Raw genomic sequence first — 24,674 nt, 5'->3', positions numbered from 1 at the left:
TTTGTTACATATGTATACATGTGCCATGTTGGTGTGCTGCACCCATTAACTCTTCATTTAACATTAGGTATCTCTCCTAATGCTATCCCTCCCCCCTCCCCCATGGCCCTACTTCTTGGCTCCTCACCCCCCCCCCCACCCACAAGGAGGGGGCCAGCTGTATTCATTCCCACTTCACCAAGGCAGCTGATGGAGGAGAGGGACAGAGAGTGTGTTGGTCGAGAGCAATCCCTCTGAACCTTTCAGACACTCCCTGTCCTAACCTATCCTTGCAGATGAGGATTCAGACATCCCAGAGACCATGAACCTCCAGAGGCCTGGGAGCATCCAGGTCTCAATGGCCACACTGACATCCTTCAGCTTGGCACCTGAGCCCACTTGCCCACCCCGACATCCTTTGTACCTGGCAGGTGCCTCAGCAGACAGCAAGCTCCTCCAGGATCTCAGCCTTCAGAGTTGGCCAAGGCAGGAGCATTTGGAACCAGGACAGGCTTGATTTGGTGGCTGCCCCAGGGACAGGCATCCTGGACTTGGCTACCCAGAAGACCACATCTGCCAGGGCAAGTTCGAGCACTCTGGCTGGGATTTTAGGGCTTCCCACGAAGCGTCCTCCTCCCCAGACTGCTCTGATTCACTCACCCAGCACCAGGAGCAAATCCTGTACACACACCACATCCCTTCCTACATCCAGGCCTTTGTTCACGTTGTCCCCTGAACCTAGAATGCCGAGATCCTAATCTCCCTACTCAGTTACCGCCTGATTTCTCAGACCGGCTCAAGCCCCACCTACTCCAGGAAGCCCTCCTGGCCCCCTTATCTGATAGCCTGTAGTAGCTACTGTCTAGCTCACAACTCGAAACCTCTGATCATGTTCTGTAGAGTACACCCGCTCAACTGATCCAATGCAACCAATACAGTATTGGAAGCTTTCTACGAACAAGGCACCCAGAGAGGGCTCGGAGGAAGATGACAGTGCCAACGGGCACAGGGAGAATCGTGAGCTTACTGCACCTTCCCAGCAGGCAGAGTGAGCCCGTAGGACAAGAGCCCCCTTTCTCCGTTTCCCATCTGCCCTGCAGCCCCGAGGAACGGTCCATTCTACAGACAAGAGGCCTGACGCTCAGAAGCAAAGCAACTTGCCACAATCGCATCACCGGTAAGTGCCTGAACCTCATCCAAACCTGATCCCTGTGGCCCCAGAACTCACAGGAAAACCTCCTCTCATAGGAGGTTTTTAATGACACTGTGTTCATTGGCTCCTTGCTGCTGTATCTTTCTCCCCCAGTGTGTGTCTACTTCTGCCGGGCTCTCGCCCTCCCTCCTCACTCTGCATGGTGCACACACCCTTAGTGGCTGTGCATTTTCAGCTTGCTTCCTTCTTTTCTCTAAAAATCTCCGCTTTGCTCTCCCTTTATTTCGCCTTTCACGCACTGAGCAGCGATTCGTTTCCTATTCCACATCGCCACCTGGCGGCCATGGAGAGAGAACACCGCGCGTTTTTTATCAAGCGGGCAAAGGCAGGGGAATCCTCACGCCAAACGGGTTTGAAGACCTCTTCACACGGACGGCCAGGTCTCTACGGGACTCGCCCTTACACTAACTCCACTACAGCCCGCTCTGTCGGTGGAGGAAATAGACGTGGAAGGCTTCCCTTCATCACCTGGTGGCTGCCGGGCCACATCCTGTACAAGCCGGGGCCAGCTCTAAGTCTACCCCAAAGCCTCAGCGTGCCTCTTCCCTCTAACTCAGGCGAAAGTACCTTCAAGACAGTCCTGGACGCGGTGGCTTCACGCCTGTAATACCAGCACTTTGGGAGGCCAAGGCAAGAGGATCACTGGATCACTTGAGCCCAGAAGTTTGAGACTAGCCTGGACAACATAGTGAAACCCCTGTCTTTACAAAAATTGATTAATTAATTAATTGTTTAAAAGAGACTATTCCTCATTCTTTTGACATCATTTTAAATGAGAATGCAGAATATGACATTGTACATACTGATATTTGATTCCTTTTATATAACCTTTCATGTATTAAAAAACTGCACTGAAAATCTAGAATTAAGTTAAAATTGGTGTGGGTTATTTGTGAATGGTGGGATTTTTTAAATGTATTCCAACACCCATATATTCCAACTTTTCCACACTTCCAAAGTCTGGAATACTTTGAGGATGGGGAGGAAAGATATGTTTACGGTCCTTGGGAAACTGAAAAGCATTTCCTGTGATGTCCCAGGGAGCTGGGGCACAGGAGCCAGCCTTGAAGTGGAAACCCCAGGCCATCCACTCACAATCTGAGTATCCTTGGGTGAGTGATCTCTCTAACCTCCCATCGAGTCCCCTGTAAACTAGAAATAATTATAGCTGCCCACATCACTGTCTTACTATAAGAGTAAAATGAGATAATGTATTTTAAAACATTGGTATAGTGTGAGTATTCAATAAATATTCTTTGAGTGAATTTAGTGCATTGTTTTGTTTTGTTTTTTTGAGATGGAGTCTCACTCTCACCCAGGCTAGAGTGCAATGGCTCGATCTCAGCTCACTGCAACCTCCGCCTCCCAGGTTCAAGCGATTCTCCTGCCTCAGCCTCCCGAGTAGCTGGGATTACAGGCGCCTGCCACCACGCCTGGCTAATTTTTGTATTTTTAGTAGAGACAGGGTTTCACTATGCTGGCCAGGCTGGTCTCGAACTCCTGACCTCAGGTGATTCGCCCGCCTTGGCCTCACAAAGTGCTGGGATCACAGGCATGAGCCACCGCGCCTGGCCGAATTTAGTGTTTTATATACTTTGGATTGATCAGTTTAATGCAAGTGACAGAAATCCAACTCAATCCAGTTAAAAAAAAAAAAAAGGAAAGATAGAATATATTGAGTTATTAAACTGAAAACTAAAAAGATTAGGGTTTCAGGCACAGCTACATCAGTGTGCTCAAATGGTGCCATTAGAAATCTGCTTTCTCTGTCTACAGCCACACCGCCCTGGACATGCCTGGTCTTGCCTGATCTCAGGAGCTAAACAGGGTCAGGCCTGGTTAGTATGAGAAAGGGAGAAATCTGCTTTGTCTGTCTCTTGGTTCTTCTTTCCTCTGTACTGACTCAAATCTCAGGCAGTCTCTTTCAACACAATGGCAAGATGGCCCCCCACCAGGCTGCAGCTGACATCTCAGCTTCTCAGGGCCTTAGTAGGAAGAGAGCTTCTCTTTCCCAATAATTCCAACAAAATTCCTCAATGCTAATCCAAACACTAAGGCAATGCAGCCTGACCATCAGGCCTGGGAAGTCACTAGCACTCCTGCAGGAAAGGGGGTCAGGACCTGCCCTGCCCAAACCACATGATTACTTGGGGTGTTTTCCCAAAGGAAACTGGAGATGTCCTCAAAGTGCACATTAATCAAATTCAGCACAAAGCCTGTCATAAACGCAGGGTTACACTGCCCTTAAGATTAAAATGCTGATGATTAGCTTAAATACCTGTGGAAAGAGCCACAGGGCAGTGGGAGTCCAAAACGCGGATTCCACTCACAGCTATATCACTGTGTGACCTTGAATAAGCAGCGTGGCCTACCCAGGTCTCAGTTTCTCCATCTGTCCAATCAGGGGTTGGACTAGAATCCGGGCTCACATCCCTCCAGGGCTATGCAGTTAGGAAATGAGCGCAGTGGCCAGGTCAGCACAGCAGGAAGTGGCGGGGCCCTAGGAGACCTGTGAGTGCAAGTCCCATTTAGCATTGTGATGCCAGCTGTGTGCTACGAGGTCCTCTGATTTTTCAAGGCATTCTATGAAATCTCCTGATTTTTCAGTGTTAAAAACTAATTGTGATGGTTGCACAACTCTGAATTGCACCCTTGACTTGTACATTTCAATAGGTGAATTGTGTGGGCGGCAAATTATATTTCAATAAGGCTGACAGAAATGAATTCAAAAGCTTTTTATCATTTTTCAGCCTTTGAGAAAGGATGCTATGATACAGGAGAATCTTGCAAACCTTATGGGAAGTGAAAGAAGCCAATCACAAAAGGCCACAGTTTGCATGATTCCATTTAGATGGACTATCCAGAAAGGGCAAAAAGCAGATTGGCAGTGGCCAGGGTCTGGGAGGAAAGGACACGGGGAGTAAGTGCTTAAGGGGGACAGAGGTTTTTTCTGGGGTGATAAAAATGTTTTGAGACTAGGTAGTGGTGATAGTCATAAAACATTGTGAAATGTGTTAAATGTCACTGAATTGTACCCTTTAAAGTGGTTAATTTTATGTAATGTGAGTTTTCCCTCAATTTAAAAAACAAAAAAGTTTGCTAAATATTCTGCTAGCCAAATAAAACATATCTGCAGGCTGAATTGGGCCCCGTTTTTAATCACAGCCACACAGTCGCTAAGGTCCCTTTTAACATTTTCTCAGGTCATATTTCCAAAGATCAAAAACGTCACCTCCAGTCGGGGGCATGGTGACCAGCTGACCACAGCTTACAACAAAGAGGAAACAGGCATTCTCTTTCCTCTAAGTAGAGCCTCCCCCAAAATAATTTTAGGCCAGAAAATAAAAGCCTGCTTAAGCTGGAACCACGCCAGCCTTTTTCTTTCTTTCTTTCTTTTTTTTTCCTAACTGCCCTTTGCCACCATGAAGGGCAAAGAGTCGCATCTGGGTGACAGTGAGTGGACTTTGTTGACACAGCCCAACTTCAATTTTTGTGAAGTTAATAATTAGGCTGTCATCCCTCTGCTCCAGAGCAATTAGGGGCCTGCGGAGGCAATGAATGGGCTCTATTATCAAGGGAAATTATAAATAGAAAAAAGCCGGACTAGACGGGAGTTCTGCACAGCATCACTGCCCTGCCCTCTCTGTGCAGAGCTGCAGCGAGCCTGAGTGTGTTGACTCGCCTCCGGTTGACAGCTCAGATCCCAGCTGCCATCCAAAAGGGCTCTAAATTCTGCCTCTGTCATCCGAGCCTGACTTTTTATGCTGTCCAGAGCCTGGCTGAGCAGTCCAGCAGAGCAGCAGGAGAGCCCGGGTGAGATAAACGCCTTTGTTTAAGTTGCCTCCCGACTCCAGGGTCTGGAGGTGTCTGGTGCTGAGCAGGAGGAACTGGACTCAGCCTGACAGGCCAGGGTGTTGGGGACGCTGAGTGACACCCTGCTCAGTGGCTCCCTAGGTCAGGGCAGGTTCCCAGCCAGGGGTGGCAGCCCCCAAAAGTGTGGCCATGGTAGAAAGCAGCCCAGGTTCTCAGAGGAATCGTCTCCACTTGCCTTGCTTCATCCAACATCTCCAACGGGTTCATACCTAACCCTCCCTGCAAACTCTATCTGTCTGATCACAGGGAAACAAAGATTCGTAGTTCTAGAAGAAAAAGAAATCTGTCACTGTAAAGGGAGAGCAACAGTCCAAAAATGAAAACACCCACAACTAGAAAACAATGATAATAAGGCTGGGTGTGGTGGCTCACACCTATAGTCCCAGCAGTTTGGGAGGCCGAAGCAGGAGGATCACTTGAGCCCAGGAGTTCAAGACCAGCCTGGGAAATATGGCAAGACCCTGTCTCTACAAATAATTTTAAGATTAGCCAGGAGTGGTGGTGAACATCTGTGGTCCCAGCTAGTTGGGAGACTGAGGCAGGAGGATTGTTTGAGCCTGGGCAGTTGAGGCTACAGTGAGCCTGGGGAAGTTGAAGCTACAGTGATCCAACCACTGCACCCCAGCGTTGGTGACAGAGCAAGACCTGTCAAGGAAGGAAGGGATGAAAGGAAGGAAGGAAGGAAGGAAGGAAGGAAGGAAGGAAGGAAGGAAGGAAGGAAGGAAGGAAGGAAGGGAAGGAGAAAGTAAGATAGGGAGGGTGGGAGGGAGGGAGAGAGGGAAGGAGGAAGGGAGGGAAGGGGGGAGGGAGGAAAATTCATTTAAGACTCTTAAAACAACCCTATGAGATATGTGCTATCAGCCCTGAGACCTGTATTACCAGGTTTTCTGATTTTTCAAGGCATTCTATGAGATCTCCTGATTTTTCAATGTTAAAAACTGGTTTAATTAGTCGAAATTAAATGAATGTCCCCATTTCACAGGTTTGTAAACCAAGGCAGTGAACTAACTTGTCCAAGGTCACACAGCCAGTTGGTAAAATTCAAATCCAGGCCTTCTGGCTCCACAATCCATGCTCCTACCTATCATCTCTACAGCTCTTACTTCGCTTGATGGTGACGCAGATCAGGGGTGGGAAACAAGAGGGCGTGGTGGGGACTGCGGTGCCCTGGACACAGCACACTCAGACTAAAGGAAGCAGCTGCTGTAGCCGGCTGGTTGCCTTAACAGGAATGAGGACTCCAATATTTTTAAGAAAAGCTGGACATCTGGATTTAGCATGAAATCTGATTTTTAAATGTTGGTGGCCGGGTGAGGTGGCTCACACCTGTAATCTTAACACTTTGGGAGGCAGAGGCAGGAGGATTGCTTAAGCCCAGAAGTTCGAGACCAGTCTGGGCAACATAGTGAGACCTCCTATTTTTTTTAATAAAATAAAATAAATGTTGCCAACTCACTCAAAGCTCTTAAAAACACCAAGCAGATCAAACAAAGCACCTTGTGTGGGCCGCCACTTTGCAACTCTGATATGGAAGGATGCTCCTGGATCACTGGCCTGACCTCTGGCCTCACTGGGTTCCCATCAGAGTCAAAGTTCAGCTCCTTACTCTCCAGGCATCTTTCCAAGCAGAGAGAGTGAGACAGAGGATGAGCCAAGGACCTGGGCTCAAAGTTGGGCTCTACAAGAGCTGTGTGACTTTGGACAAGTCACTCACCTGGTCTGGGCCCTCATTCTCTCATTTGTAAAGTAGAGATGACAATAATTTCTGTGTCACAGGATTGCTCGGGGCCTGGATGAAAAGGACGCAGGAGGAACAGTTTGGTGGGCTATAGAGCTCCTTGCAGATGTGTTGGGGCCACCTCGCCCAGGTAGCCTCAGCCTGTGGTCTGCCAGGAGAGGTAGAAAGGAAGTGGCCCCAACCCCACCCCACGCAGCCAGGGTCTACCTCACAGCTACTTCCCCCACCTCCCGCCTTTGCACCCACACAGCCTGGAGCCTGTGCACCCCGCATCCCTGGTGACCTCGCCACCACGCTTCCTCCCAAGAGGGAGACTGCCCGCTTTGACCAGTAGACATCGCAGGCCAGCCACTTACGCCCGTACATGACACAAACTTTTAAAATCAGAGAAATATTAAAAATATTTAAAAATGAACAACCCCTATGTACCCATAAATAATTTGATGCACAATCAACTAAGTAATTATTTCCATGCACAAAGACAGGAATTACTTGCAGTATGTTTTTATGAAACTGGAGTCAGGTGCACATTGCATCTCCTTTTGACTTGCTCATTTCTCCACGCAATTGACATATGCGACTGTGTTCGTTTCAATGGTGGCACAGAGTTTCACTGGTTTTTAAACCAGTCCCCTGTAGGTGGACGTTACTTCCGATTTTTTTTTTTTCTAACACAGGCAGAGCCCCTGAGAGCACCCCTGTGCCTGTAACTTTGGGCACTTTGGGGGATGTTCATTCTTAGAGGTGGAAACACTGAGTCAGAGAAGTGAGCGTTTTGTGTGAACTGATATTATCAAATTGCCCTCAGAGGGGCTAGACCAATTAATGCTTCCTGAGCAAGGTGTGAGGAGACCTCATGACCTCATCCCCTGCGAGCCTCCTAACATCTTCCTTTTGGTCCAGGACCTTAAGAAAACCCATTCCCAGGCCGGGCGCAGTGGCTCACACCTATAATGCCAGAACTTTGGGAGACCTAGGCCAGTGGATCACTTGAGGTCAGGAGTTCGAGACCAGCCTGGCCAACATGGTGAAACCTTGTCTCTACTGAAAATAAAAAATTAGCTGATGTGGTGTGCACGCCTGTAATCCCAGCTACTTAGAGGCTGAGGCAGGAGAATCGCTTGAACCCGGGAGGTGGAGGTCGCAGTGAGCCAAGATCACACCACTGCTCTCCAGCCTGGGCAACAGAGTGAGTGAGACGGTCTCAAAAAAAAAAAAAAAAAAGAAAGAGAGAAAAGAAAACTCGTCCCCTTTGCACCCACTGATGCATCAACTAGATGCTCAAAGTTGCCTTCCAGGTGCCCTCATCCAGAATTTGTTAAACTCATCTCCTTACCTGAAATCTACTTCCTCAGTGCACTATTCACTCATTTTGGTGGCCAATCCTGCCCTCTGAACTCACCATCCCTCCACCTCCTTTATGCTTTGCCCAGCCCCTTCCCTCCTTCTCAACCCCTGCCCGTGAAACCACCTGCACCAAGCCCGCCTCCCTACTGCCCTGGTAGCCCCACCCCCACGCTCCCCATCCTCTCCGAGGGAGAGATCCCCAGCGCAGGTGTACAGGCTGCGCCCCAGATGCGTCATCACTGTCTAGTCCTCTGTCCAGGACTTGTTAAGAGAGAAAAGTGCTATATTGGGATGGTAGAAGTTTATGAGTCCTTTCATTTTCTTTGATTTATACAAGTTATTTTAAGTTGTAAAACATTTATTTACTAAGGAAAGTAAAGAAGCCTAAGGTAAGCATCACAAACTAATTTTAAAAATCGTTGTAACCAAAATATTGTGGCTGATCACAGTAGGGTACTGCATAGCTTTCTTAATAAACTCTGAGACTGAAAAGTCAGTGCTTGTGGTCAGGGTTACCGTTTAAAGAGAGAGAGATCCCCTGGGGTTTTCCTGAGTTCCCTCCAAGCATTCTGGATGAAGAGGGCCACTTATGTCCTCCCTGACAGGGAAGAGAGAGTTCCCAGATGCTCGGGCCAACAACATGGAAGACCCAATTATTAGCTTCAGGTAGTTCTTACCTGAAGCTAAGGACAGAATAAGAGAGAAGGTAGAGGAGGTATAGGAGAAAACCGGTGAATCAGGAGGAAACCTCGGTTGGAACCCTGACTACATCTACAGTCTGTGTGGCCCTGGGCAGGTCATTTATCCTCTCTGACCCTCAGTCTCTTCCTCTGAGAATGAGTGTAATAATTCCACCTTATAGGTATGTGAGGAATCCAGCACAATCTTTAATAATCATTGGCAAGTAGCAAGTATTTAATAATTGTTGGCTGGACCAGAATCTTTGAACCCGCCCCTGCAAGCAATCTAGCAAATTCTGTCTAGGTTCACAGTGGACTCCTGAGCTAAGTGAATTTAGCAATCTGTGGCTAAAGTGCCTCTCGTTGATTTTTTAATCTCAGAATAGGCTGGCTGCTTCCCTTCCTCAGGGAATAGTTTGTCTTGACAGGGCCCACCATTAGTGAGTTTTTGTTTTGTTTGGTTTGGTTTTGTTTTGGGCTAATGCCATGGCTGATAGGCTGAACATGCAAGCACTATTGTGTAGGAAAATATTTTTGCTTGAGCAGTCCCTGTCCGAATACACCCTTTCCACTTCTCTCTAGCACTCCTGGTTCTTAAAGACTAACTAGGGACTCACGCAGTGACTTACACCTATAATCCCAGCACTTTGGGCAGCCAAATTGGGAGGATCACTTGAGGCCAGGAGTTCAAGATCAGCCTGGGCAGCATAGCAAGATCCCAGTCTCTACCAGAAAAAAAAAAAAAAAGATTCACCTCTTGAAGAAGTCCACTCTAGCCCCTCACTTTGCACTGCTTCAGCCCACAGGCCTGCAGTTGGTACACACATGTATGCAAGCACACACATGCATGCACAACAGTCTTGCAATATTTTATACTCGTTAAAACTCTCCAATTGCTTTATGTACCTACGTCAGGCCTCCCTAACTAATACATAAGCTTCTACAAGATTAGGTGTCTTCTAAATTTCAGAACTTGTAAATGCCATTTACAGAGCATCTACTATGTACCATGTATTTCACCTACATTATTTTGTTAAGTCTTCCCAACAACTTTGCAAAATTTAGGTGTCATTATGTTCAATTTGCAGATGTGGAAACTGAGGCTCAAAGAGGTAAAGTAACTTATCCAAAGTCATAGAGCTCAGCACTCAAGGTGCACAAGTTGACACTTGTATTAGTCTGTTTTCACACTTTAATAAAGACATACCCAAGACCAAATAATTTATAAAGAAAAAGAGGTGTAATGGACTTACAGTTCCACTTGGCTGGGGAGGCCTCACGATCATGGCAGAAGGCAAAAGTCACATCTTATATGGCAGCAGACAAGAGAGAATGAGAGCCAAGTGAAAGGGGAAACCGCTTATAAAATCATCAGATCTCGTGAGACTTATTCACTACCATGAGAACAGTATGGGGGAACCACCCCCATGATTCAGTTATCTCCCACCAGGTCCCTCCTGCAACACGTGGGAATTACAGAAGCTACACAATTCAAGATGAGATTTGGGTGGGGACACAGCCAAACCATATCAACACTCAACAAATAATTTTGAATGACTGAAAGGATGGATGGATGGACAGATGAATGAATGGATGGTTGGATGGATAGTTGAATGATGGGTGGGTGAGTGGATGGATGGATAGATGAAAGGGTGGATGACTGGATGGATGAGGGGATGGATGGATGGATGGATGGATGGACTGATGAATGGATGGATGGTTGGGTGGACTGATGAATGGATGGATGGTTGGGTGGATAGTTGAATGATGGGTGGGTGAGTGGATGGATGCGTAGATGAATGGGTGGATGGTTGGATGGATGAAGGGATGGGTGGATGGATGGATGGATGGACTGATGAATGAATGGATGGTTGGGTGGATAGTTGAATGATGGGTGGGTGAGTGGATGGATGGATAGATGAAAGGGTGGATGATTGGATGGATGAGGGGATGGATGGATGGATGGATGGATGGACTGATGAATGGATGGATGGTTGGGTGGATAGTTGAATGATGGGTGGGTGAGTGGATGGATGGATAGATGAAAGGGTGGATGATTGGATGGATGAGGGGATGGATGGATGGATGGATGGACTGATGAATGGATGGATGGTTGGGTGGATAGTTGAATGATGGGTGGGTGAGTGGATGGATGCGTAGATGAATGGGTGGATGGTTGGATGGATGAAGGGATGGGTGGATGGATGGATGGATGCATGGATGGGTGGACTGATGAATGAATGGATGGATAGATGGATTGATAGGAGGGTGGATGAAAATATGCAAGGGTGGTGGATGAATAGATGGACAGGTGGTTGGATGACAGGGTGGACGGACGGATGAATGGATGGATGGGAGGGTGAACGAATAGATGGATGGTGGATGGATGGATGAACAGACTCAGCATATAAGTGGTGGAGCCAAGTTTATCTGACTCCAACAGGCCTTTCCATGTGAGCATAAGAGAGCTCCTGCTTTTTAGCACCAGAATAGGGACACAGCAGGCACTGTCACATAGTCCCCCAAACACAGGGTAGCAGCTGACCATCCTGGTTTCAACCAGTTTCCACAGCTGCCTGGATGCGGCACGTGCGAGCGGGATTCAGCCACTGGGTGAGCCATGACGGTGAGAACCAAAGATTCTCCTCCTCAGTAACCCCACGAGTGAGTTGATGGGCTGAGGTTCTGGTTTACCGGGACGCGCCCCCAGTGAGCAGGAGGAGCCCCCGCACCAGGCCACACGGGGGCAGCAGCTCGGCGTCTGCAGGCATCCGCGCACAGCCGGCGGGCAGGGCTGGTTCCGGAGGCCGCCGGGTAAGCACGTGGCGCCCGGTCTCACCTTCGCGCTGGCGGCGGGCTGGTTCCTGCAGCGCCGCTGGGGTGGCGGGGGCGTGGCTGAGAGTGCTCTAGGAAACACTGGAGCAACCACACGTCCGCGCCCGCCCATGGGGCACCTTCAAACCAGCCGGGCATGGGCGGCACAACTCTGCGCAGCCCTTAAAAGAATGGGGTTTTGCTGCTGCCAAAGATCCCGGAGCAGCAGCAAATGAGAAAAGCAACGTGCTGGACGCGCCTGGAGTGCCACCCCTTTGTGGATTCTAAATGTGTGCAAGTAACTAGATGCATTACTTGTCTATTGGCCCACGCACAAGAAAATTCTTGAAGGAAACCCAGCAGTTTACTTTTTATTTTCTGCCTTTCTGTGCTGTTTGAATGACTGTTTTGCCGTGGGAATGTATTCTCTCTCTCTCTCTCTCTCTCTCTCTCTCTGTCTCTCTCTCCCCCCCCCCTTCCCCTCTCTCCCTCTCTTATCTCCCTCTCTCCCTCTAGTCTTAATAGGAATTATCTGGAAATTGGGATTGGGAAGATTTTTTGTTTGCTTTTCCTTTCTTACACGTTCTTGGTTTTTTAACCTAATGTTTTTAAAGGAGGAGGGAGACAGTTTAGGGGTTGCTGCTGGCCCTGCCTCCTTAGCCCTGGGGGCAGGAGGGCTGGCTGGCAGCACTTGACTGCTTGGTGACCCTCCCTCTCTAGGGCAGGGAGCAGGTTCGGCCTTAGAGCCTCAGGTCCAGGACGCCCAGAGCCACAGGGGGCCCAGGCCATTTAACTGTCCAGGGCTGCCTTGAGGAACCAGGATGGGTCCATGAGGTACTGCGTGCTTGTAAAGCGCCCTGGCCCGCTGACATAGAGGGCTTCCAGTGGGGCCCGAGAGGCAGAGCTCCGGTGAGAATAGCAGGGCCATGGAGTCACCGAAGCCACAGACTTGACTTGAAGATTTGCCAATTCAACCTGGGCTGGGATCTGCATCGTCCTTGACAGTTTCATCGGGAGATCAGCCTGCTATAGCAAAATGGTCAGGACTTAGAACCCAACAGACTTTATTTGGACCTGGTTCCTGCATCTGACAGCTGGGTGACTTTGGGCAAATAACTTGACCTCGCGAGTCTCAGTTTTCTCATTTGTAAAACAGTAGTTATAAGAGTATTATCATAAAATTTAGCATGGATGTATGTAAACCACCTAGCAAAAAGACTGGCGAATAGCAGTTTTTAATTCTTGGTGGCTCTTTCCATTCTCCCTCTCCCTCTTCTTCCTCTTCTTCTTCTAGTAAGGAAATCGTAAAACTGAATGGAATAAAAACTGAATCGAGAAGCCAGGCGAGGTGGCTCATACCTGTAATCCCAGCATTTTGGGAGGCCAAGGCGGGCAGATCATCTGAGGTCAGGAGTTCGAGACCAGCCTGGCCAAGATGGTGAAATCCTGTCTCTACTACAAAAATACAAAAATTAGCCAGGTGTGATGGCACATGCCTGTAGTCCCAGCTACTTGGGGGGCTGAGGCAGGAGAATTGCTTGAATCCGGAAGGCGGAGGTTGCAGTGAGCCAAGATTGAGCCACTGCACTCCAGCCTGGGTAACAAGAGTGAAACTCCGTAAAAAAAAAAAAAAAAAAAAAAATGAATCGAGAAAGTCAACTATCTGGTGATCGTCATCTAATTGCCCCAGGTCCATCTCTGAACCAGATTAGTGTCTCCTAAAGATCTCAATCCTACACCCAAACTCAAGTGCCCCATCCAAGGCAGAGACCCATCTCCCGACCCTGCAGTTCCTACATGTTCTCACTTGAAGGCAACATTGAGCTTTGGATTTCAACCTACCCAGGGGCGCTCCCCTCTCCTCTCTTCTCCCAGCCTAGACTAACAGAACCAAACTACTCGCGACACTTAAAGAACAATTCTAGAGATAAAGCAAAGGCATGCCACTTCACACAGCTGACAGCAAAGGTAGGAAATTTACTAACCCTCAAAGTGACACTGGCTGAAAATATAAATGGGTCTCAATGGGAGACAAAATAAATCAGGTGCATGGGGGAACTATGTGCATCTTTGCAGACTTAACTATGAATAATTTTTAAGATTACAAGCAGCGGCTTGTAATCTTAAAAATTATTCATAGTTAAGTCTGCAAAGATGCAAAAACCAAACACCGCATATTCTCACTCATAGGTGGGAATTGAACAATGAGATCACTTGGACACAGGAAGGGGAATATCACACTCTGGGGACTGTGGTGGGGTCGGGGGAGGGGGGAGGGATAGCATTGGGAGATATACCTAATGCTAGATGACACCTTAGTGGGTGCAGCGCACCAGCATGGCACATGTATACATATGTAACTAACCTTTACAATGTGCACATGTACCCTAAAACTTAAGAGTATAATTAAAAAAAAAAAAAAAAAGATTATAAGCAACATAAATAACAGTGATGGCTAAATAAACTGATGCATCCACTTGAATGCATATTTACAATTATAATGAAGATTACGCAGTAACTTGGGAAAATTCTACAAATGGAAGGAAGAACACAAAAACATATTCAATATTTTGATTCCAGATATCTAAAAATTCTATGTACTTGTAGGAGAAACAAAAGGAAAACAAATAAAATTGAATTGCTGAGGTCATAGGGCTAGGAGTTGTTTTCTCCTTCTATGTTGATTTCATATTGTTTATTCACTTTTTTTTTTTTTTTTTTTTTGAGAAGGAGTCTCACTCTGTCGCTAGGCTGGAGTGCAGTGGTGCAATCTCGGCTCATTGCAACCTCCGCCTCCCAGGTTCAAGAGATTCTCCTGCCTCAGCCTCCCAAGTAGCTGGGACTACAGGCGCCCGCCACCACACCTGGCTAAATTTTTTTTGTATTTTTAGTAGAGACGGGGTTTCACCATGTTGGCCAGGATGGTCTCGATCTCCTGACCTCGTGATCCACCTGCCTCGGCCTCCCAAAGTGCTGGGATTACAGGCGTGAGCCACCGTGCCGGGCCGTTTACTCACTTTTTAAATATTAGGACTATTCACAGGCAGGGTGTGGTAGAAAACACAGATTCTGTCATTGCACAGTCCTTATGCTTCCAGCTCTCCGAAGTCCCTGGATGTCCAGAGTAGAGGCACTCCTGTGAATGAAGATACAGATGGTCTCCAGAAAGCTCCTCAGAAAATGTGGACTCTTTAAAAACACATTAGAAAAGAAGAATGTATGCATCTCTTAAGTTAGCTCTGTTTCCTATAGAAAAGCAGAATTTCACCAGGAAGGGAAGAGAATGGAAGAAAATGGCAGGAGACACTATCGCGTAATAATAACCGCTTATTTGAACAACTTGGTTTATCTACCTATGACATAATAATAATTCTTTGCCAAGTATTAAGCCTCACCATGTATTAGGTGCCAAGCATTACACTGAGTACTTCACACACATTATCCCATTTAATGCACTCAACAACCTCATGTGGCAGTACGTGGTGCTTTCCACCCTTTTTATCTTTCTGTTTTGGAGACAGAATTTCGCTCTGCTACCCAGGCTGGAGTGCAGGGGCATGATTAGAGTTTACTGCAGCCTCACACTTCTGGGATCAAGTGATCCTCCTGCCTCAGCCTCCCGAGTAGCTGGGACTACAGGTGCATGCCATCACACCTGGCTAATTTTTTAATTTTTAGTAGAGGCAGGGTCTCACTATGTTGCCCAGGCTGCTTTCTACCTTTCATAGATGAAAACTAGAGGTCACAAATGGTCACTGGCCTGACGCTGCATCGCTTGTTAGTGGCCACGCCAGGATTTGGACCCCAGTGTGTCCCTTACTAATGCATATGCTCTTCCCGCACATACACAGCCAGAACTGCCTAGAAGGGCAGGACCTGGGCTTGGCCTTAAACACCAGGCAGAAAACAAAAGCCTTCACTGGAGACCCTCATCTGCATCATAATGGTGACAGTGTGATATCTGACATGTGTGATGCCAGCAGACCTGGGCATTTTTGTTGCCAGGGTGAAAGCAAAGCGTTCAGTTAGCAGGAGGGCAAGGGAAGGTCTCAGGAAGATGCTCACGGGTTCTGGCTCTTTTTGTTCCACCTATTCCTCCTTTCTCGCTTTCCTGCCTCTCAGCATCAACAGGTGACCCTACACAGCCCACTGGCACAGACTGAGTCCCTGCCCACGTGTAAAAGTTCCAGGGTCACGCAGCTCGATTCAATCCACAGTTCCCAAGAACTCCTGAGAACAGGCCATCATGAAGACTGTGTTTGCGAATATGCCAAAAGGAAAGATTTTTTTTTCCGAGTGTGGTGTTTCACGCCTGTAATCCTAACACTTTGGGAGGCCAAAGCGGAAGGATCGCTTAAGCCCAGGAGGTTGAGGCTGCAGTGAGCTACAATTGCGCCATTGCACTCCAGCCTGGGTGACACAGCAAGACCTCATCTCAAAAGACAGACAGAAAAAGAAAGAAAAAGAAGAGGTAGGGCACTAATAGGAAGGCGCTGTTATTGTGCCTATTACAGAGATGAGAACACTGAGGCTCAGAGACAGGAAGGAACTTCCCAAGCTTACTTAGCTGGGAATGTGACAAATTCTAGAGTCCAAGTTCACTGGAGCTCAGGCTTTCAACCCCTGTAATAGAATGGCTTTCGCTCTGCAGACCACTTTGATGGAAAAAAGAACAAAAACTTCACGGCAACCTCTGTACGCCTCAGGCCCTTCATCTGTAAAATGGGCCAATAATAATAATGCCTAGCTCCAGGGCTGTTGTAAGGATTAAGTAAATTAATATATGTAAAGTGACACATGGTTTGCACTCAGTAGATATTACTTGCTCTTTAATTATTATTGAGATTATAGAGTCAAGGCTTGGAAGGACCAACACCCCTAGAACAGCTTCCAATCTCCACTTAAACTGCAAAGGTGCATCCTTGCTCCATGAGGCATTTTGTTCTTTCATTAAGACATTTGTGATTAGAAATGTCTTCCTAATATATGTGGCCAAATCTGGCTCATACAGCATGCATCCTCCCCCAGGTCTATTTCTGCCCTGGAGGGAGATAGAATGCAGCCAGCCTCTCTAGCTTGGCAGTGCTTCCCTGCTGAGGAGAAGCCCAGCGTCCACCCAGGCCCCCTCACCACTCAGCACCTCTCTAGAGGCCCAGAGCAGGACGCAGGCATTTAGCTGGGCCCTGCCGCCTCCCTAACCTGGACTAATATCAATGCAAAATTGATTCCCTATCATCTTACGTTAACAGAACGTGGGAAAAGGAGAAAAGATATAAAAGTATAATATTGAAAAATAAAAATGGCAGTTGCATTCAGAGCACTCTCTGATGTCATGTATCTCGGTTCACAACACTTCCTGATTTTTTAGCTTCTGTCCCCAGGTTTATTCTCGCTGACAACTCAAGCTCTTCTGGGGTGAGGCCCTCATCCTGGCTTCTGTTCGCTTCTAGCACATTCAGGCACTGAGAATAAACCCGGCAAACAAGAGTTGGATTCAAAACACATTTCTGTCCACGCAACCACTCATCACGTGGCCAGGCCTGTCTGGAAGCCTGAACCCTGCCCAGGGGCCTCCTGTGCCAGCCTTCATCACTGGAATGGTGTCTACGCAGCAGCCAGAGGAGGGCCAGGCTCCAGGCCAACTTCCCACAGAAGCAGCATTGGCGTTTTGAGTATCTTTGTCTCCCAGGGGCTGCAGGGAGCGGGGACGGTTGAGGGAGCCTCTCCATGTCAAAGAAAGATGTTATGAGACTACAGGAAGGACAGATAAAGGGTTGCTTTCTCATCTTAGAACTTAGTGAGATTCCTCTGAATGTGTGGAAGTATTCTGGAAAGTGAAAGCCTTATTCCAAGTCTGAGTTAAGTACTCTCACCTATGTGCCCTCCTTCTCTGAACTTACCGTCTTAGTACTTACCACTAGATTGCAATGGTCTGTTTGCTTGTTTAGATCTCTCACTAACACAGAAGTTCCTTGAGGGTAGGGACTGTGTCTCTGTTATTGTCACCTGATTTCCCAGTACAATGCCCAGACATAGGTGGTCAATACGTTTGCATTGAATGAATTGATTACATGAATGACTCATTTTAGCACTTACCATCCGATCCACACACTGTACTTGAAAAGAAGTTGCACAGGTTGAGCATGGTCACTCATGCCTGTAATCTCACCACTTTGGGATTTCTGGCCAGGAGTTTGAGAACAGCCTGGGTAACCCCATCTCTAGATAAAATGTCTAAATTACATATTAAAAAATAAAAAATATAAAGAATCGACACAGCCTAATGAGAGATGCATTGGAGGGCTTCCAGTCTCAAGATAAGGGAATAAAGATTTTCCTTTTGACAATCTCACAAGGACAAGAAGCAGAAGAAACAGATGTACAGACTACATCTTCCATGAACCCAGGAGGCGTGGCGTCTATAACGCTTAATTCCAACATAGAAAGATAAAAAGCACTGGAAAAATGTAAATGACTCAGCGGAGAAGTAGCAAGGCAAACACAAGCGTCTTCAGGGTTGGGTGGCAGGGCCCACAAATTGTTCTACAGAGCCCCAGAAAAGGCTCAGAAATAGGAGGCATCGAGTGCTCACGTGAGATAGAGATTGAACAGGAATGAAAACAAGAGTTGTTTGAAAAACCTCTTTAAAGAGTACAGAGTCAATCGACTGATGAATGGATAAATAGATGGGTCTATCCTACAGTGGAATGTTACTCAGCAATCAAAGGGAAGGAAGCACTGAAACGTGTCACAATATGGGGGAACCTTGAAAGCATCATGCTAAGGGAAAGAAGCCAAACACAAAAGGCCCCATTCTGTATGATTCTATTTTGATTATATTTATAGGAACATCCAGAATTGGCAAATCTATACAGACAGAAAGTATATTAGTGGCTTCCAGGGGCTGGGGCGAGGGTGGAGGGAGGAGTGACTGCTCATGGGTACAGAGTTTCTATTTGGGGTAATGAAAATGTTCTGGAGTTAGATAGTGGTAATGCAGTCATTGTGAATATACTAAAAGCAACTGAATTGTACAACTTAAAGAGGTGAGTTTGCTTTATTTTTTGTTTGTTTGTTTTTACTTTAAGTTCTGGTATACATGTGCAGAACGTGAAGGTTTGTTACATAGGTATACATGTGCCATGGTGGTTTGCTGCACCTGTCAACCCATCATCTAGGTTTTAAGCCCCACATGCATTAGGTATTTCTCCTAATGCTATCCCTCCCCTTGCCCCTCACCCTGACAGTCCCCCGGGTATGATGTTCTCCTGTCTGTGTCCATGTGTTCTCTTTGTTCAGCTCCCACTTATGAGTGAGAACATGCAGTGCTTGGTTTTCTGTTCCTGTGTTAGTTTGCTGAGAATGATGGCTTCCAGGTCCATCCGTGTCCCTGCAAAGGACATGAATTCATTCTTTTTTATGGCTGCATAGTATTCCATGGTGTATACATGCTGGAGAAATAGGAATGCTTTTACACTGTTGGTGGGAATGTAAATTAGTTCAACCATTGTGGAAGATGGTGTGGCAATTCCTCAAGGATCTAGAACCAGAAATATCATTTGACCCAGCAATCCCATTACTGGGTATATATCCAAAGGATTATAAAAAGAGGTGAGTTTTATGGTATGTGAATTATATCTCCTTGAAAAGGAGCACACAGAGCTTCCAATCAGCTTCTGATTTAAACATAAACCGAGAAACGAGAATCCCCATAATCTTGAAGAATACCACCATGAAAGACAGACCAAACATAAAAGACTATGAAGAAACTCAGAGCACAGAGAGATCATGTACAGCTCAGAAAAACATCGAAGAATCATAGTTAATATTCTCTGTGTGATAAGAGAAGATATTGCTCCCATGAAACAGGAGATGCATACTATAAAAAAGGAAAAGTCAAAGAACGAGAAATTGCTCTGAGTAAAAATTTTTGTTTATTGCTGAGATGAACGAATCCTTCAATAAGAGGAAGATAAAGGATATTTAAAATAAAAAGCTTAGATAAACATAAAGTTCAGTATATCCTCCTGAAATATCCCTTGCAAAATAAAGAGCCAAAAAGATGGTAATAGGTAAGGAAAGATTGAAAAGAAATTAGAGAAGCAATTTGAGAAGCCTCACATGAAAATCTAAGTAATAGGAATTCCAGAAAATGACATCAGATAAAATGGTGAAATGGAAATTATCACAAAAAAATTCAAGAAAAGTTTACAGAATTGCAAAGCATGCATCTCCAGATTTTAAAAGCCTTCAAAGCCTCCAACATAACAAATGATAACAATAACTATGCAAAGGAACATAATTCTGAAATTTCAGAACAGCAAAGATAAAGAAAAGATACTGAACACATCCACAGAGAAAAAAAAAAAAAGCCAGTCCAGATACAGTGGCTAATGCCTATAATCCCAGCACTTTGGGAGGCCAAGGTGGGAGGATCATTTGGGCTCACCAGTTCAAGACCAGCCTAGGCAACAAAGTGAGACACCATCTATACAAAAAAATAAAAATAATAAGAATTAGCCATGCATAGTGGCATGCACCTGTATCCCAGCTACTGAGGAGGCTGAGGCAAAAGGATTGCCTGAGCCTAGGAGTTAAAGGCTGCAGTGAGCCATGTTCACACCACTGTACTCCAGCCTGGGCCAAAGAGAAAGACCCAGTTTCAAAAAAAAAAAAGAAAGAAAGAAAGAAAAGAAAAGAAAAACAGCCAAGTTACATACAAAAATATCAAGAAATAAAATAGTAACAGACTTCTCAACAGCTAGAGAAAAATAGGGAACTTACTTCAAAAGCTTAGGAAAAATGAATTTCAACATCTATATCCAGCCAGATTATAAATCAAGCGAAAAGACAAAATTAAGACATTGTAAGCATGCAAGATCTCAAGAATTCACCACTTGCACACCCTTCCTGAGAAAATTACTGAAGGACAGTATCCAGGAAAACAAAGAAGGCAGAGAATCAGGAGAAGAAGGAACCAACAGAAGAGAAAAGTAAACAGATTTCCCAGGAAATGGGTGAATGAAAATACCAGGATAAGCAGAAAGCTTATAGATCAGGAAGAGCAGGCTCTTCAAGAAAAAGACTGAACTGATGCATTATCTGATGGTTTGACCATAGAGAAAATGATATGGAGTGGCTAGCAGAGCTGTTGAAGAGCAAGTCAGATATTCAAAGAAAACCAAGCACATAGAAAAATTGTACAAGAAAGGAAACTTAATCACAGTAGACTATCAGGTTCAATGGTGAATACTGTTGAACCATGTTTTTACAATGCCATAATAATGTAAATACTGTATAAACATTTTATAAAATAATAAGTTCTATTGGAAGAAAAAGGAAAGAGAAAATATGCATGGAATAAAATCTTCATTTGCATAATTGAAGGTCAAACAATAATGGTCACAATTGATAAATCAAGAGATAGCTTAATATACATGTTACTTGGAAATATTGAAGCAAATACCCGAATAAATAGCAAATAGGCTAAAAGATGTTGTTTCTGGGAGTGGGGATGAGGATTAGTTGGGTGGCTGGAAGTGATAGGGCAAGATTCTTTTTTTCCACCCTGTCTCCCAGGCTGGAGTGTGATATCTGCTCACTGCAACCTCTGCCCCCTGGGCTCAGGCAATCCTCCAGCCTCAGACTCTCCTGAGTAGCTGGTACTACGGGCACACCACCATACCCAGCTAATTTTTGTATTTTTTGTAGAGACGAGGTTTCACCACGTTGCCCAGGCTGGTTTCAAACTCCTGGGCTCAAGTGATCCTACTGCCTCAGCCTTCCAAAGTGCTGGGACTACAAGTGTGAGCCACTGCACCCAGCCTGAGCAATATCATTTTAACAACACTTTGTACATTGTTTGCACTGGCTTTGAAGGCAACATAATTTGACCTGGTTCTGCCACTTCCAAGCTGGTGACCTTAAGTGAATTATTCCCCTCTTCAGGCCTCAGTTCCTTCTGTGTTAATAATTCCTACCTGGTACGTGACAGGGACACAACGTCTTAGTAGATGGTAAATAAATGGGAGGCCCTTCTCACTCCTCCTGTGTTCCACATGAAAGTCATTTTGAGTCGTCTGGGGAGCAGCGGCTCTATCCTTTGCCCTTTTTGTAAGCACCCAGCACCTAAGAAAGTATATGACAGGGATGTCATTTGACAAACTGCCAAATCGAATAATTGGATGTTACAACTGAGTGCTCACCTGAGAGAAGGCAGTTTATTGAGTGATAACTACAGGAAAACAGAGATAATGCTATTATAATAATACCATTACTACTATAGCATTTCAATTATTCCCATAGTAACAGAGTTGTATGAGTTTAGCTAAAATAAAAGACTGCAAGATAGTCTGGTACAGTCAACAATTTCTAGCCCTTCTTTTTTTTTTTTTTTTTTTTTTTTTTTTTTGAGACGGAGTTTCGCTCTGCCGCCCAGGCTGGAGCGCAGTGGCGCGATCTCGACTCACTGCAAGCTCCGCCTCCCGGGTTCACGCCATTCTCCTGCCTCAGCCTCCCGAGTAGCTGGGACTACAGGCGCGCGCCACCATGCCCGGCTAATTTTTGTATTTTTTTTAGTAGAGACGGGGTTTCACCGTGTCAGCCAGGATGGTCTCGATCTCCTGACCTCGTGATCCGCCCGTCTCGGCCTCCCAAAGTGCTGGGATTACAGGCGTGAGCCACCGCGCCCGGCCCTTCTAGCCCTTCTTTTATTTTAAAAGTCCCCGTGGCCGAAGACTTTCATTTTCCCCCAGTCTCATTTTCCCCTTCTTTTTAATAATAAAACCCCAGGCTGCATCCTGGCTGCCCCAGCAGAGATTACATTTCCCAGACCTCTTTGCAGTTAGGGGTGGTCCCTGACCAAGTCCTCACCAATGACAGTGAGAAGACTTGATGTGTCTGATTCCCACATCTCTTCCTGGAAAGGAAATTGCCTACCCTCAACTATCTCTCTTTCTCCCATCACACAGGCTGGTGACCAACAAGATAGGAGGAGCCTGGGGCCCTAGATGTCTTAGTGGAGCCGAGCTGCCTTCCTGCCTTCACCCAGCTATCGAGAGCCTACGGTGTCTTATGAGGCCGACTGTTGATTATGAATGCATGGTGCTGGACATGCCAGGGAAACAGAGCTGACTGTTGATTATGAATGCATGGCGCTGGACATGCCAGGGAATACACAAAAGCCAGTTATAGAGGGACTCCTGCTTCAGTTCTACAATTAAGCAGCAATTAGAGTTTGTCGTTAGTTTTTAATTTTTTAATAAGTCATAGATACACATGCTTCAAAACTCAAAATAGCAAAAATGTATGCTGTGAGACGTCTTTCTTTACCCTGTTTCCCTGCCTGGATCCCATCCCACCCTCAGTGGTCAGATAAATACTGTCATTAGTTTTCTGTGGATTCTTCAAAAATTTATTTACATACATACAAATATAGGTGCTTATATTTCACCTTATTTACATAAAACATAGTTTTCTACATTCTACACCAACACTCTACACTGGTACCACTTCCGGGAATCTATCCTTAGAAAACAGCTGAAACTTTTACTATATGACCAAAGAAATTAATTGCAGCATTATTTATAATAGTAAAAAAAAAAATGGAATCCTTAATGCACAAAAAAACACAAAACTTAGCTACCAGTATTAAATGTATTATGGTATATATAGTGTCCATGAAAAAAAATTTGTAAGCAACATTCAAAGGCAGGGGAAAATGCTTATAATTTCATATTAAGTGTAAGAATTAGATCAGAAATTGCAGGCCATGTGTTCACAGCTATATAAAAAAACATACATAGGCTCACTCCTATAATACCAACACTTTGGGAGGCTGAGCCAGGAGGATCTCTTGAGGCCAGGAGTTCAAGACCAGCCCCGGCAAACTAGTGACACCCCACCCCCATCTCTACAAAAAAATTTTAAAAATTAGCTGGGCTCAGTAGCACACACCTGTAGTCCCAGCTACTCAGGAGGCTGAAGTGGGAGGATCGCTTGAGCCCAGGAGATTAAGGCTGCAGTGAGCCATGACGGCATCACTGCACTCCACCCTGGGCGACAGAGCAAGACCTTGTCTCAAAAAATATCCATCTAGAGAAATGAATGAAAAGCACCACACCTAAATATTATCAGTGTTTTTTGTCAACTAGCGAAATTAGTTTTTCTTCTGCTTTCTATTTCCCAAAATGACAATGACCTTGTGATTCTTTACATAATAAGGGAGGGAGTTGGCTGAGGGAGGGATAGAAACAAACCCCGGCCTGCTTCCAGAAGCACTTGAGGGGTCCGAGGGCCCTCCTGCGGAAGGGGAACAGTGAAGTGGGAGTGGCCTGAGCCTAAGGCCGAAGTTGCATTTTCCTTTTCTCTGCTTTGGAAACAGGAACTCCTGGGCCTCGGCCTTGCTGCTGCCATTTCGTTAGTCCTCCCCACTGGTGCTCCCTTCTGCCTGCAGTGTCGAGGTTGGGGGTAGGAGAAGGAATCGCCCATAGGTGCCAAAGCCACGGGTAGCCACTTCACTGGCTGGCCTCTCTGCTCAGCTTGCCCCAGGTGACTTTCACTCCCAGTATAGACGGGGCTGGGTTTAGTAAGCCTTCCTGGTTGGACAGCCACATCCAAGGCAGAAGCTTTGTACTAGCCAATTGGGACTTCAATGATATCTCTCCTTTTCAGCCCAAGGAATGAATGTTCCCCAAATAAGATGCTGCTCTACCTTTTCCGGCCAATTAAGTTTCTCTTCTGCCACTTCTCCCCTCATCGACCCACGCCCCCTCCACCAGCCACGTCCACCACTGAGCCCCCTTGCAGACGTGTCTGCCCCCTCCCACCCATGCCTGCGCCATGGCGACTGGAATTCTCCACTTTTCCGTCTTTCATTTAGTTAGGCCGCCATTTTCCAATGCATGATAGTATCTGGGCTTGTGTTTGTTTGTTTGTTTGCTTTAGAGATGGAGTCTCGCTCTGTCACCCAGGCTGCAGCGCAGTGGCAGGATCTCAGCTTACTGCAACCTCCGCCTCCCAAGTTCAAGTG

The 24,674-nt window shown here is 46.2% G+C and overlaps 2 long non-coding RNA genes and 1 pseudogene across 2 annotated transcripts in view, besides 4 other annotated features; 2 read left to right on the top strand and 1 right to left on the bottom strand.

Moving 5' to 3' along the window:
- The window catches only part of LOC105377731 (uncharacterized), a 29,006-nt gene that overhangs the window by 2,655 nt on the left and 1,677 nt on the right, over positions 1–24,674 (bottom strand). The window contains exons 2-3 of the long non-coding RNA XR_941237.3: positions 21,625–21,772; positions 14,662–14,780 (exon numbers count right to left, since the gene is read on the bottom strand). This is a non-coding gene — a long non-coding RNA (uncharacterized LOC105377731). The remainder of the gene's footprint in view (positions 1–14,661; positions 14,781–21,624; positions 21,773–24,674) is intronic.
- Positions 830–2,457, top strand: LOC124901136 (uncharacterized). The gene is made up of 2 exons (XR_007059055.1): positions 830–1,156; positions 1,439–2,457. It is a non-coding gene; the product is annotated as an uncharacterized LOC124901136 (long non-coding RNA).
- Positions 1,569–1,738: an enhancer, noted in NCBI's record as "active region_23653". NCBI's record gives its function as "activates an Ori minimal core promoter by ATAC-STARR-seq in GM12878 lymphoblastoid cells {active_cell/tissue: GM12878}" and the evidence as "EXISTENCE:reporter gene assay evidence [ECO:0000049][PMID:35858748]".
- Positions 2,866–3,115: an enhancer, noted in NCBI's record as "active region_23652". NCBI's record gives its function as "activates an Ori minimal core promoter by ATAC-STARR-seq in GM12878 lymphoblastoid cells {active_cell/tissue: GM12878}" and the evidence as "EXISTENCE:reporter gene assay evidence [ECO:0000049][PMID:35858748]".
- Positions 2,965–3,067, top strand: RNA5SP200 (RNA, 5S ribosomal pseudogene 200; annotated as a pseudogene).
- Positions 11,564–11,703: a silencer, noted in NCBI's record as "silent region_16637". NCBI's record gives its function as "represses an Ori minimal core promoter by ATAC-STARR-seq in GM12878 lymphoblastoid cells {active_cell/tissue: GM12878}" and the evidence as "EXISTENCE:reporter gene assay evidence [ECO:0000049][PMID:35858748]".
- Positions 22,567–22,767: a silencer, noted in NCBI's record as "peak5581 fragment used in MPRA reporter construct". NCBI's record gives its function as "represses an SCP1 promoter by STARR-seq MPRAs in K562 erythroleukemia cells {active_cell/tissue: K562}" and the evidence as "EXISTENCE:reporter gene assay evidence [ECO:0000049][PMID:32103011]".

The sequence above is a fragment of the Homo sapiens genome, chromosome 5, assembly GCF_000001405.40.
Source record: "Homo sapiens chromosome 5, GRCh38.p14 Primary Assembly".
In the NCBI taxonomy this organism is placed as follows: domain Eukaryota; kingdom Metazoa; phylum Chordata; class Mammalia; order Primates; family Hominidae; genus Homo; species Homo sapiens.
The sequence above is the reverse complement of the archived record's forward strand: the minus strand, read 5'-3'. Positions and strand labels throughout refer to the sequence as shown.